The sequence below is a fragment of the Homo sapiens genome, chromosome 1 (genome assembly GCF_000001405.40).
Source record: "Homo sapiens chromosome 1, GRCh38.p14 Primary Assembly".
Classification (NCBI taxonomy): Eukaryota; Metazoa; Chordata; class Mammalia; order Primates; family Hominidae; genus Homo; species Homo sapiens.
In genome coordinates, this window is record NC_000001.11 from 179,805,892 (window position 1) to 179,819,803 (window position 13,912).

The 13,912-nt window shown below is 54.4% G+C and overlaps 1 protein-coding gene and 1 long non-coding RNA gene across 29 annotated transcripts in view, besides 2 other annotated features; one reads left to right on the plus strand and one right to left on the minus strand.

Annotated features, from left to right (window-relative positions):
* Positions 1-10,307, plus strand: part of FAM163A (family with sequence similarity 163 member A) — an 88,423-nt gene extending 78,116 nt beyond the window's left edge. For 7 of the 21 annotated variants that reach the window (NM_001393418.1, NM_001393423.1, NM_001329719.2 and 4 more), the window contains 4 exons: positions 1,907-1,997; positions 6,219-6,240; positions 7,185-7,299; positions 7,888-10,307. In NM_001393418.1, coding sequence (NP_001380347.1) covers positions 7,207-7,299; positions 7,888-8,298 — 504 coding nt within the window. In that variant the 5' untranslated portion in view covers positions 1,907-1,997; positions 6,219-6,240; positions 7,185-7,206 and the 3' untranslated portion in view covers positions 8,299-10,307. Of the gene's footprint in view, positions 1-1,906; positions 1,998-3,433; positions 3,556-3,790; positions 4,043-6,218; positions 6,241-6,884; positions 7,300-7,887 lie in introns of those variants that run through there. The other 14 variants (NM_001393416.1, NM_001393422.1, NM_001393415.1 and 11 more) reach the window with 6 other exon arrangements.
* Positions 7,203-7,428: a silencer, noted in NCBI's record as "fragment chr1:179782229-179782454 (GRCh37/hg19 assembly coordinates)". NCBI's record gives its function as "represses an EF-1alpha promoter that drives an FKBP-Casp9 reporter gene in an ReSE screen in K562 erythroleukemia cells {active_cell/tissue: K562}" and the evidence as "EXISTENCE:reporter gene assay evidence [ECO:0000049][PMID:32094911]".
* Positions 8,404-13,527, minus strand: LOC105371634 (uncharacterized). Of its 8 annotated transcripts, none has more exons than XR_007066756.1 (5): positions 13,095-13,527; positions 12,101-12,198; positions 11,477-11,983; positions 9,008-10,636; positions 8,404-8,703 (listed from the first exon to the last, which is right to left on the minus strand). It is a non-coding gene; the product is annotated as an uncharacterized LOC105371634 (long non-coding RNA). The 8 variants fall into 8 exon arrangements; XR_007066754.1 differs by having other exon boundaries at positions 12,101-12,421; XR_007066752.1 differs by having other exon boundaries at positions 12,101-12,501.
* Positions 12,629-13,614: an enhancer, noted in NCBI's record as "H3K4me1 hESC enhancer chr1:179787655-179788640 (GRCh37/hg19 assembly coordinates)". NCBI's record gives its function as "activates a minimal SCP1, AML or CMV promoter by ChIP-STARR-seq in primed H9 embryonic stem cells {active_cell/tissue: H9 hESC(primed)}" and the evidence as "EXISTENCE:reporter gene assay evidence [ECO:0000049][PMID:30033119]".

Below are 13,912 nucleotides of genomic sequence, written 5' to 3' on the forward strand. Positions count from 1 at the left end.
AAGCACTGCATCTCTCTTCCAGGAGTCTTTTGCAACCCCTTGCTCAGCCTCTGGGCATCTGGAGGCCGCCTGCAGCCTCTTCAGTTCAGGTCTTCTCCCTGTTGACACTTACACAATATTGACTCAAGACAGCCAGCCCCAGAGCTCTCCTCCCTTGGGATACATAGCTCAGCAACACCTCTCACCATGGAAATCTCCTCAGCAAACCTTCACCAAGTTATGGTCCTATATGTATTTTATAAAGTGGGTGAAAGCATCCACGGATCCTGAGACAGATGCTTTTACATTCCCATTGTACAGTCTGTGCACAGCCAGGGGCAGAGGGCCCTGCCCCAGGCTCACTTTCACCTTCTGATTTCTATCCTTTGCCCTGTCAGAACTCGTGCAGCAAGAGCCCCACTGTGATACCCAGTCGCATTAAACTCTACATCACAGGTTAATGTGAATGAGAACATCTTGGAGAAAAGAAAGCCTAAGTGCCCAGAATGTCCAAGGCAGGAGCTGGGAGAGTGTAGGAAGGCCTAGATCTAGGAGAGAGGTGATACGGGGACAGGGCTGTTCTGTCACGCAGTCACTCTGCCTCCTTCTCAGCTTTCCCCAGGGCTCTGCCCCTGAGAGCTGCTGGGCTCAGACAGCCCCAGTCCGTGAGGCATCATGCTAATGTCTGTCCTTTGACCTCCAGTTTCTGGCCGAGGGTGAGAACCTGGAGGTGGTTAGCCCTGTCCCCTTGGGAAGGTGGCTCTGTGGATGTGGTTAATGGCTGGGTTTCCTCCCCAATACAAACATCCCCCACCCAGGGGGGGCCTTTCCTCTGAGCCAGGGCTGAGCATCACCCCTACAGGGCATCCCTCCTCTCCCTCCTTCTCTCAGTGTAGGGTCCAGACTCTTCCGAATAATGTTGAGTGGTTATTTAAAGATCAACACTGTCCTGGCCGGGCATAGTGGTTCAAGCCTGTAATCCCAGCACTTTGGGAGGCCAAGGCAGGAGGGTCACTTAGGGTCAAGAGTTTGAGACCAGCCTGGCCAATGTGGTGAAACTCTATCTCTACTAAAAACACAAAATAGCTGGGCACGGTGGCATGTGCCTGTAGTACCAGCTACTTGGGAGGCTGAGGCGGGAGAATAGCTTGAACCCGGGAGGCCGAGGTTGCAGTGGCACTCCACCCTGAGTGACAGAGCAAGACTGTGTCTCAGAAAAAAAAAAAAAGAAAGGTCAACACTGTCCTGGGTTAGACTGATTGGTTAAATGAATAAACAAATGAAACAATGTAAAGAGACCCCCAAAAATTAGCCTACCCTGGATTCCTGGATGTCTCGGGAGGGCCCTGCCTCCCCCTCCACCATCAGCGCAGCAGCCTGAACTTGCTCATCTGGCTGTCCAGTCACCATCTTTGGCCTGATAGAAGTCAGGATATTGGAGTAGGGGAAGGAAGTGTGCAGCCCGGGCACTGGGAAAAATAGGCCCGGGAAACCGTGGGAAAGGGGCTGGGAAAGAGGTATGTTAAGAGCAGGGTCAGTCATGCAGGCAACAAGGACACATCCACTGAGCACAGATCCAGATCCTCCAGTGGAGCAGGAGAAAGCCAGCCGAGCGCCCTGCCCCACTCGCCGTCACCTCCCAGACATGTGCCCAGCATCCTGCCGCTGCCCTGGGCACAGGCTTCCAGCAGCAGCACAGAGGGAAGGAGACAAAGCTGGGATAGGTGTAACCTTACAGGTCTGTCCTCAGGTTCTTAGGCTGGGGCCTCGGAAACCAAGGCAGCTGTGGAGGTTTACCTCAAGAAGCAAACCCCTGGAGAGACTTCCACTCTAGAAGCTGGGGTCACAACTGGGGGCCAGCAGGAGCCTGTCTGTCCTCAGCCTCCCTGTCCAGCTCTCATGAGCCTTTCCTTCTCTTCTCTGGCAGGGACTGATGCCCTTGGCCAGACGCACCCCCAACTGCTGTCTGCTCAGGTGTAGCCCGCGTGACTGAGTCACCGCTGCTCCAGCTGTTTCACGTAAGTGTAAGGCACGGGCCACTCCCTTTTCCTCTGGGAGAGGGTGTCTGGGCCACCAGTGGGGAAGGAGCTTCAGCAAGTCCTGGTCACAGAGGGAAGGCCCTTAGGATTCTTTAGTGGACAGCAGGTTTGTCCTCTTTGGCTACCCCCATTCCCTGACTTGGCCACCACTGAGTCATTCTGCCCTAGACCTGCTGAGACCTGGGTGGGAACATAGGGACCTCTTTCTCCTGTCCTCAGGACACCTCAGGAGGCAGCTGGTGTGTTAGAAACTCCACAGCACTGGCCCGTGGGCCCTGACTCAGGCACTTGTTATCCTATGACTTTAGGCAAATGACTTAATGGTCTCGCTTCTCCTCCAGCATTGCTGGGGCTTTTGTAAGATTCAAGAATGTATTCGTTATCTTTTGCTGCGTCACAAACTACCACAAACTCAGCAGCTTAAAACAACACACAGTGATTATCAGTTTCTGTGGGTCAGGAGTCCAGACATGGCTGGTTGACCCGCTGCCTCAAGGTCTCAGCTGGGGTTGTCAATTCATCCCAAAGGTCAACTGGAGAAGGATCCACTTCATCTCTCATGTATGTGGCTGTTCAGTTCCTTTTGGGAGGCTGGATTGAGGGCCTCAGTCCCCAGCCAGGAATTGGCCAGAGGCCACCCTAGGTTTCTTCCCCAACATGGCAACTTTCAGTATCAAAACTATCAGAGAGAATGGCTAGCAAGAGAATAGTCTGAATCTTATATAATCTATTCACAGAAGTGACATCCCATTACCCATGCTGTTTTCGATTGGTTAAAGCAAGTTACAGGCCACACCCATACTCAGGGGAGGGGAGTACACAAGGGCATGACTGCCAGGAGGCAGTGACCACTTGGGCCATCTCAGAGCCTGCCTGCCATAAGAGAGCATAAATGGAGCACTTTGTAAACTGTAGGCTGCTGTTTGGGTGTAAGGAGATATTGCCAGCATTTGCATCTAGTTGCAAAGAGACAATGAGCCCTCCTGAAATCATAGAGAGCCACTGAATGTGGGAATTTAAATGCTAAACTGTACCATTAGTACAGAAATTAGCCAGCCGTGGTAGCACATGCCTTTGGTCCCAGCTACTTGGGAGGCTGAGGTGGGAGGATCGCTTGGGCCCTGGAAGTTGAGGCTGCAGTGAGCCGAGATTGCAGCACTACACTCCATCCTGGGTGACAGAGCAAGACCCTGTCTCAAAAAAAAATTTTTTTTTTCCATTAGTACTGGGGCTTCAGGGAAACTGGTTGAGAGCTGATTAGTTCATCTCATACCCTGTACATGTCCCTTCCTGGCTTATGATTTTAAGGCCAGACCTAAACAGCCACAACATGTCGAGGCCCCCCAAAACCATGTTTGTGGGGTCTTTTCTAGTTCACAAAGAGCTCTCACACCCATCCCCCTCTTTCCTCACAGTCACACTTGAGAATTCAGAGGAAGAGAGGCAAGCCTTGGTTACGATTCCTCGCAATCCTACTGGCAAGGGAGACGTGAGAGGAATGTGAGAGCTGAGCGTTTTGTTCATCTTTGCTTTACAAGTGAGAAAGAAGGTCATTTTCCAATATGGGGTAGCTGCTCAGTGGCACAGGTGATCCTCGAACCTGGGCCTTGAGAACCCCAGCTCTGCCCACACTGCCATGCCCCCGATGTCCAGGCCATTGCCGTGCACAGCCTGCGTGGTCCTGAAAGAGGGGTGGTCCAGCACAGGGGCAGGGAGGAGGGAGGGCACTGTTCTTATACAGCTTCTCCATAATTCCCTGTCTCCTAAAATAGGCTTGGCACATCCTGGAACACTAGTCCAAGCCTGTCTGTGGGGTGGATCACTGCTGCCTCCCCAGCTTCAGGTCACTCCTAGACCTCTCTGTCCATAAGCAGCCCTCAGCGACGAATATGCAGGGAAGTGGTGAGGGGATGAAGTGGTGCTGTAGTGAAAGTGCCTAAGCCTTCCCCACGCTGAGATTCATCTGACCCCGCCTCCAGATGCCCCAAGAAACCCCTGAAGCATGGCCCGCCATGCACCTGGGCAAAATCAAAGTGGTCTCGAACAGTGACGCTCAAGTCTGCAGATGGGATTGAGCTGAGAGGTACAGCTTGCTGCCCCCTGGTGGTCTGTCAGAGTCATAACTGCCAGGGCTGTGACAAGCTAAACAGTGAGCTTTTATTAAGTACCCGGTATGTGTCAGGCATGGTGTATAAGGCTGCAGGGGATAGGAGACCGTGTAAGACACAACCCTTGATCCCAGAGGACTTATAATATAGTGGAGGAGTCAAGATGTTCCCACATGAAAAGTTGACTCTCATCCCACCAAGCGGGATTTGAAGAGCAAACCATGAAGGGCATTGCAATAGGAGCCCAGAAGTGAGAGAGCTTCAGGGCTGGGGCAGTCAGGGGAGGCTTCTCAGAACCTTGAAGGATGGGCAGGATTTAAACAGATGGAAAAAGAAAGGCCACACGCTCCCCTGTCAAAAGCCCCGTCAGGAAACCCCCAGGGTCTCCAAGAGAGTTCATCTGGATTCCTTGACCGGGTTGCAGCCTCTGCAGCTGCATGCCTGCCCTGGCCTGTCCCAGCCTCGCCAGATCCCTCGCAGTTCCTGGAACTGTTTTCTCACACCCCTGGACTGTTCATTCTGCCCTCCCCACCTTGTCTACTGGATAAGCTTTCACTCAGCTTTTAGGATTCAGCTCAATACAACACCTGCAGTGGAGCATCTCCCCTCAGTCAGTAGCTGCCCCACTCTAGGTTCCGCAACTCTAGTCTGCAATTCTGTGGCTGCGAGTCTCACACTGTATCCTAAGGTTTGCCCCGTATCTTTTCATCACTAGGCAATAAGCTGCTTAAGAACTGTAGGACTATGGCTCACACTTGTAATCCCAGCACTTTGGGAGGCCAAGGCGGGTGGATCACCCACCTTGGTGGGTGGTCAGGAGTTTGAGACCAGCCTGGCCAACATGGTGAAGCCCCGTTTCTACTGAAAATACAAAAATTAGCCCGGTGTGGGGTTGCACGTCTATAATCCCAGCTACTCGGGAGGCTGAGGCACGAGAATCACTGGAACCCAGCAGGCAGAGGTTGCAGTGAGCCAAGATTGTGCCACTGCACTCCAGACTGAGGGACAGAGTGAGACTCTGTCTCCAAAAAAAAGAACAGTGGGACTGCATGATGGGGCAGTGGATCACGTAAGCGGAAGAAAGGGAGGTGAGGAGGGAAAGATAAATAGGGTAAGTGTGCAGGAACGTGGGGGATGGCAATGTCTTTGAAGCTGTCTCTAAAAGTTTATGGGCAGATAAATGTATCCTGCAGGCAATGTGGTGCATGAGAGTCACAGAAAGGCCCAGGGGTATGAAGGAAGGCTTAACAGCTGGTGGCAGGAAGGGTACTCAGAGACAAAACTGGGAAGGTTTGTTAGGAAACCATTGTGCCAGTGCAGCTTGAGAGGTGATGAGTCTTCACTGGTGTGGGGGACAGAAGACTGGGGTAGCCAAAGAAGAATTTGAGGAGTTTAAATTCTGGGCAGCTAGGGGAACGTCCCATGGGCTTGTCAAACTCTAATGTGCAACCTACTCAATTGGGACCTTGTTAAAATGCAAACTCTGACTCATTAGGCCTGTGGGGGGCCTGAGATGCTATCTTTCTAATGGTGCTCCCAGGTGATGCCCACGCTGCTGGTCCACAGAGCGGGAGTGGATTTGGAGCCACACTGCCGGGCAGGTGCAGCCCTCTAAGAGGACAGTGGTGGACATGTGATATCTTTGGGTAAAGAGATAAAGGCACCCCCTTTTACCTGGTGAACACACCAGGGTGCATAGCTTTGTGAGCACAGTGCAGTTGGGTTCTAGCCCCCACTTGCCCTTTGAGTAATAAACAATTTGCAAAGCCCTTCGGGACAGCTCTGGTGGAGCCACCAACAGAGCCTCCAGACAGGTCGGAGGAGAGGAGTCCATTTGGAGAGCAGGGTGGTGACTTTAACCTGTCATAACTGAGTTTGAGATGACCACTGGGACATCCACTGAAATGTCTATCTACTAGCAGCTGGAGACCCAGCTGGAGACCTGGACTTGGGGTCTGTGGGCTCACTGATGATATGCCACACAGCGAAGAAAGCAAAATGAGGGTTGTCTGGGAATCATCTAACCCTTCTGGCCTTTTTCAGTGAGTAACTCTCTTCTTCCAACATCTCTGTCCTTTCTGTTGTCTTGCAGGTCGCCGTTCCCTTTACTGAATGTAAGTGATCGTAGTCATTTTTCCATCTCCAAGATGCCAACTTCCCATTCCCCACCCTCCTGCCCCTTGGTCCCAATGCACCTGGGAGGCTCAGAAATCCCCATTCACTGACCTAAAAGGAGAATCTGTCTGAAGCCATGACAGCCTCATGCCCAGAGCTTGCCTCTGTCCTGTTCATTCAGCCTCAGAAGCCAGGACCAGTCTCCCCAGCTTGGCCACAGCCTTCCAGGGCCCAGAATGCCACACACCACTCCCTCTGGGCTCGCCTTGCCTTTGTTTTCCAGGAGGGTTTGAAGGAGAAGAGAGATACCCCCAAAAGAAGTGCTGGTTTGAGCCAGAGAAGAGCCACCTGGTGTTTTCGAGATGTGGCCCTTTCCCCGCCAGCCCGGGCCAAAGGCTCAGGGACCACTGGGGTGTGTGCCAAGAGGGCGGGGATCAAGAGCACAGCCTTTGGGATGAACGGGCTGGGTGGAATCGCAGCCAAATTATTCGCAGCCCCGTTCAGCATGCGTGCGGTAGGGATAGCTAATAACTGCCCCGAAGGGTTATCGCGAGGATGTAGTAAGATGCGTGGGGGTGCTTAGCATGATGCCACACAGGGAGGAGCCCCGCAATCAGCGGCAGCTGTTCCTCTGTGTCTGCAGCCACGCAGAAGCGGGAGCTAAGAAGGGTGTGACGGGAGAGGAAAGGCGAGAAGAGCACCAAAGGGGAAAGATCGTGAGAACTTTTTGAAACTGGGTACTCAACTTCGCCCACTTAGGCTGGCCCAGTCTGGAGCCACAGTCGTCCTCAGCCTTCAGGAAACCCCTGGGGCCTGGCCCTCCCGGCACCTGCTGCTCTCAGGCCCCCTGCCCCAGCCTCGGGGCAGTTCCAGGAAGACTCCCCCCGGCCCAGCCCAGGGCTGCAGCCACAGCTGGTCCTCAGCCCTCCGCACATCTTTGCAGAGTTTGATGGGGCGCCGGGCGGATGACAGCGGGAACGGTTGTGATCACTGGCGGAATCCTAGCTACGGTGATCCTCCTCTGCATCATTGCCGTCCTGTGCTACTGCAGGCTCCAGGTCAGTCCCCGGGACCCGTAGCCAGAGGCTGCCAGGCCACCAGCAAACCTCTTTTTCATTATGGGGGCAGAAACTGGAGGCCGACTTCAGGGCCCACAGAGCCCAAAGCTATGGAATGTAGCAGGCGTAAGTCAAGGAGGATGGGAGTTGGGGCTGGTCGGAAGGGAGCTAAGTGCCCCCCAGCCTGCCCACTCAGAGCACACAGAAAGTGTGCTGGAAAGATACGGGGTCATTGGGTTGTGTCTCCTGCACCTCTGAGATTTCAGGAGCATGGGAAGAGCACCATTCTGGGGAGGCTCTGAAAGCTGCCGCCAGCAGCTCCAGCCCTGTCCTCAATATGATGTGTGTGTCCCTGCCCCGCTCAACTACAGCCTGGAGTTACTGCGAGGAGTGGTGGGAGGGGAAAAGGAAAGCAGTACTGGCCTTGCAAAGCTGGGATTAGAAACTTGTGGAGCAGGCCCCTGGGGTTCAGTGCCTGGCACTAGGTTCTCCATGGAGCAGGGGACAGGGGCACCTGTGCACGCTCAAAAATGCATGGGGCGGGGGGAGCATTCACCCTCTCAGGCATCCCTCTGCCCTTCCGCACAGTATTACTGCTGCAAGAAGAGCGGAACCGAGGTTGCAGACGAGGAGGAGGAGCGGGAGCACGACCTTCCCACGCATCCCAGAGGCCCCACCTGCAATGCCTGCAGCTCCCAAGCCCTGGACGGCAGAGGCAGCCTGGCGCCTCTCACCAGCGAGCCCTGCAGCCAGCCCTGTGGGGTGGCCGCGAGCCACTGCACTACCTGCTCCCCATACAGCTCCCCCTTTTACATACGGACGGCTGACATGGTGCCCAATGGGGGTGGAGGCGAGAGGCTCTCCTTTGCTCCCACATACTACAAAGAGGGGGGACCCCCATCCCTCAAATTGGCAGCACCCCAGAGTTACCCGGTGACCTGGCCAGGCTCTGGGCGTGAGGCCTTCACCAATCCAAGGGCTATTAGTACAGACGTGTAAATCCTTCCACCCCGACCCGCACACACACCCACACTGCTGCCCTGGCGGGGGCCATGGGGGTGATGAATGACCCTCCAACAGCCCCACATGGGTTGTTTCTGTTTCTTTGGCTTTTCTCGCTCCGCAGTGGAGGGTTTACTAGGATTTAAGCTTTTGAGTGCATTGAGAACCAAGACAGGGCCTGGCTCCAACTCTGTGGGCCAGAGGTGGGGGACTGCTAGGTCGAGTCTGCAGCTTCGCCAGTTTCTTGGTTGGGACACTCCTCTGGCAGCCCCAGCACCACCACAACCCCTTGCAGTGTGCCCCAGTCCCCTGGATTCGCTGGACTGCAAAAAGGAGCACCAGGGAAAGCTCAGCAAAGGCTCAGGAGGCCTCCCGGGTCCTCGGGAGATGAAGCATCCGTGCCTAGGAAAAGGGGACAGAGGGCAAGGAGAGAAGTGAGAGCTACAATTCCAGCATTGGAGAAGCGAGGGGCGGGGCGTCAACGGCACTGCTTCAGGACGCGCTTGCTGAAACGACTCCAACAGCTAGTTCACAGCCCAGCTTTGTACGTTGGTTACCATAGCTACTGCTGTCACTGTAGCTGCTCCCGTAGGGTCGTTGATTCCTGAACGTATCACATCTCACCTGCCCCCTTCCTCGTGGGACGTGTCAAGTTGACTTTAAAGCCTAAGGTGGCTTGTGGGGACTGCACCAGAAAGTGTCTAACCTTGTGTTCCCCGAAATCCTTTCTCTGACTTAGGAACCAGCGCCCCCTGCTGGAGAAGTTTTTTCATTTTGTTAGCCGACTTCTGGTAGCTTAGCAAAGAGACCAGCTGACTGTCTCTCGGCCCAGCCCACCACGCCGAGTAGCTTGTGTGGATGCAGTCCTGTGAGGGTGTGCATAACCGTTCCCAGGTGTACGCACGCGCGCGCGCGCGCACAGACACACACACACACACACACACACACACACACACACAGTAACCACGGGTAGGCACCAGGGGCTTTGTACATTCAGGAGCTGCAGAGAGGAAAGGTCTCCCATGTACCAGAGAAGGAAAAGTCTGATCCCGAAACAGCTTGAACGAAAGGTGGTTAACACGTGACCAATCCCCATGGCAGACAGCGGGCTGGTGAACAGGAAGAGCACAGAATCTCTGTGGGGCGATGCTGCAGCGGCTGAAACCACGTCAAGTCCCCCAGAGCCCGGCATTCTATGTAAGCATCCACCTGTGACGCCGTGGAGCAGGATCTTCATTCATCTCACCAGAGCAACAGCCCAGTCCTGAGGATGGGAGGGACGTGACTTAGCCTTGGGATTCCACGCTCGCCGCCCTCCCTTGGCCGCCCTACTCCCCAGTTTCCTGGCGATGAGCCATTTATTGTGTCTCACACCAGCCTCATTTCCAACTCCGACTTCCTACTTAGAATGTGGCAGTGGCTTTGTGAGTGAGAATCCTGATGAGTTTTCCAGTGGCCTCTGCAGAAGCTGGCCCCCTTCTAAGGGCATAGCTAACCCCCTTCCCACTCCTGAGTCACTGAATTCGAGGAGGGTGGGGCAGGGAAAGGGCTGGCCCCCCTGCTGAAATCTTGATTCTGCATTTGAGGAAGGTCAGGGTGCCGCTGGGGGAGCAGGGAGCGGGGAGGGAGGAAGAGGGGAATGCACATCTTTTGCGCCACTATTAAGGCACCTGTCACCTTACATCTCAATCTGGAATCAAAGTGCCCTGGGTTGAGAAGCAGACCTGGGCTCTGGTCACACTTTGGTCACTCATTAGCTCTAGGACCAGTCACTAATCTCTGAGACTCCATTTTCTCCAGGGAAACGAGGCTTGCCCAGATAGACTAACAACCCTTTAGTGCTCCAAGAAGTGAGAATTTCCGAAAAAGATCTGCCGGCCCAGAGCACTCCCTCTTGCCCTAATCCTGGCAGGGTCTGGATGTATTTACCCAACTCTGATCTTGCGTGCAGGGATGCTTGCTGATGGATGAAAGACCACAATAAAACAAGATTAGCAGCAAAACAATTTTAATTGTCAGTGAAAAGCAAACATGTTTGTCAGACTCTCCTGTGGAGTCATTTCAAATGGTAACTCTTCTCTTGTACCAGGAAGCAGCTGTAGGTGGGGTAATGGGATCTGTCTCCTGGTGCAGAGGGGCAGCTTATGGCGGCAGCAGCTTCAACAAGCCCGTCCCACGGCCAGCCCTAACTGGGCCAAGTGCAAGCTCCTGATGAGCTGCTGGGCCTGGCAGCGTTCCCCACTTCCTAGTGCCTTGCTCCCCTGGAATTCCACAGCCAATCAACCACAGCAGCCGTGTCCTCCTTGCCAGAAATAACATCATTCGTACGTCCTGCCTTTGTAAAAATCAAGACCCAGTTAACCATCACCCACTTCTTGCCCCTGATTGATGGGGTCCCTGAGTACAAGCGTCCTGTGCAATCCCCTCCCTCCTACCGCTTTCCTAGCTAAGCCCTGCTAGCCCCACAAATCAGAATCTGGGTTTGGGGTGCTGGAGAGATGGTGGGCCCCAGCTCTTCCCCACATAGCCCACGCTGCTCAGGGCACGGTCTCCAACCAGGCTCGAGATTGCCTGCCTGCCCGCTGCAGCCGCAGGGCCCCACCCTGTGGAAAAGGAAGCTTCCCCCACTCAACTGCACTGTCCTTTTCTGCTGTCTAGTCTGTGCTAAGGGACACTACTTGTACACTTTTCAAACGGTGCCCTAAATTGGAAGAGAAGGAGGGGCCAGGAACACAGCCCTCTCCGCCGTCTTTCTCCACCTCCACTTCACCACTCCTGCTCTAGACTTCTTGTCTTGCATCTTTGATAACTTGGAGTCATAACCGAGTGGATGTCGGAATAAATGAGAGATTTGAAGTAGAAATCCCACAGGGTCCTTCGTTCTTCACCGGGGGAAGTGAAGGGGGCTGTTGGTGTGGATTTAAGGGTGAAGCCTCCTCTTCAACACCCAGAGCGTCTGTGTTCCACGCTCTCCCTGCTCCCACGGTAGCAAACCTCCACCTTGTTGCCTGGCATGCCCCCATTGCCTCAGTCAGAGTTCAATCGGCGGAGATTTGCTGTTTGTTGGGAAAGTGGCTGAAGGGCCCTGCTGAGGATAGTGAGTTTCCCTGTGGGGCAACCCAGGCCTCGGCCCCTGCTACCTGCCCTTCCCCTCTTCCCAACCCTGCACACACACCTTCCAGGCTGGTGGTCTTCCTGCCTGTGTAGCTCAGGGTAAAATCACTTCTCTGAAGCCTGAGGAGATCATGTCACATGGCCAGCCCTTTGTTACAGGGGCAGCAAGGGAAGAGAGGGGAATTGGGACCAGATCCCCAGTGCAGCCCAGCAGAGACTACAGAAGTGGAGAGGGATGGAGGGGGACTGGAGAACTGGGAACTAGCTTTGTGTGTAGGAGGGAGAATTCGGGGATGAAGTGAGAACGTCTTTTGTGTGTGTGTGTGTGTGTGTGTGTGTGCCTGCACTTGTGCACATGGGTGTGTACGAGACAGCTGCTCTCTCTCCACCTCAGGGCCTCAGGGCGAGCCCTGACTGCAGCTTGGGGGTACAGCAGGCAGCCTGCCCCAGCAGTCCAGCACCCAGGCCTCCAGCCCTGCAGCAGCCTTCCCTAGCACCAGTGGGAGCACAGCTTCCTTCACCCTCGGCCCAGGGAGCAGTTGGCCACAGCTCTGTCACCACAGCTGTTCTATGGAATCAGAAACCAGACCCTGAGGCACACTCATCATTGCATCCATCCCAACCTCCAGCCATCTCCTTTGCCGCCGCAGGGCAGCCAGCCCGGACTCGGCCTCCAGCCTCTCACCCGGCACATCTGCTTGGCCTCATGCTTGCTGGCAAGTCACGGCCCTGACCCAGCTCTTCTCCCTGGTGGCCCTCAACTGCCTTCAGCCTCAGCTCCAGCTGGGGAGGAGGGTGGAAGAGCAGCTTGAGTCAGACTGAGGAATGCAAGAGAGGTGCTGGCCGTCCTTGTCACTGTTCTTTGGAAAATGCCTCCATCAGTGCCTGAAGTTCAAGGAGTGTGGGCTGTTTTCTTTCTGAGTTCTGAGCAAATCGAGCTGGGGGACTCCGGGGCATGCTGCGCTATCCTGGGAGTCTCGGCCTTAGGCGGTTTGGTGATCTTCCCCTGGAAATAATCAGTGGGTCCTGAGCAGCACTTGTAAACTTGAATGTAGAAAGCTGGGTGAGAAGTTTTCATCCTCCGCACTGTTCAGGCCCAAAAAAGTTGGAGGCAGAGGCTGTCGTCAAAGTGGCACATTGCCCTCATACCCGGGGGCTTTCCAACCAACAGCTCTGGCACCCCAGATTCCAGCAGCCCCATAATGGCATCATTCAGCCCACATCCCCAAAACCTGTCCATGTCACTCTGCCCCTGGGGCTTCTGCAGGGACTTCAAGGAGAAGCTTCTTTCACCATAAAAACATCTCACCCAGTTTTCTACGCTCAAATTTACAAGTGCTGTTCAGGGACTATTGATTATTTACAGGAGAAGATCGCCAAACTACCTAAGACTGAGACTCCTGGGATAGGGCAGCATACCCCGGAGTCCCCCAGCTCGATTTGCTCGGAACTCAGAAAGAAAACGGCCTACACTCCTTGAACCTCAGGCACTGACGGAGGCATTTTCTAAAGAACAGTGACAAGGACGGCCAGTACCTCCCCCGCAGTCTGACTCAAGCTACTCCTCCACCCTCCTCCCCAGCTGGCCCCTCTCTCCACCAGTTCCCCCTCCCAACGGCCATCCTTCCTTCATCGCCGGCCTGTCAGCTCGCTGGGTGGAGAACCAAGTAGTGCACAACCTCTCAGAACACACCACTTGCACCTTCACAGCGTGCCTCGGAGGGAGTGGCACATGGCTCCATCCTCCAGCCCAGCACACAGCACCCCTCATGCAGCTGGCTCATGCTGAGGATGGCAGGAGGAGGTGAAGGCGGAGCTCCCGGGTCACAAAGCCATTATCTCTTTTCTCCTGTGACCTAACACCCCAGCAGACACAGCAGTCTAGTGGCAGCGGTTAGAAGGTGGGATTTGGAAGCAGACTTCAGCTGGAATCCTGACTCTACCACTTACTGTGTGACTTTAGGCAACTTTGGGGACCTCTCTCCTTCTCAGTTTTCTCACTTGTAAAATTGGGATCATAATGCCCACTGTATTCCATGAAAATTAAGTGAGCTGACTGGGTGCGGTGGCTCACACCTGTAATCCCAGCACTTTGGGAGGCAGAGGTGGGCAGATCGCCTGAGCTCAGAAGTTCGAGACCACCCTGGGCAACATGGTGAAATCCTGTCTCTACTAAAACACAAAAAATTAGCCGGACGAGGTGACAGGCATCTGTAGTCCCAGCTACTTGGGAGGCTGAGGCACCAAGAATCACTTGAGTCCCGGAGGCGGAGGTTGCAGTGAGCCAAGACTGCACTACTGCACTCCAGCTTGGGCTACATAGTGAGACACCATCTCAAAAAAAAATTAAGTGAGCTGACACCTCACTTAATTTTAATGGATACAGTGGGCATTATGGTCCCAATGTGACACCTCACATTAATGATAATGGCACATGTGGTAGCCACTATCATTAGCAGTATAGCCAAGTCCAAACTCTACCACTCACAACATGACA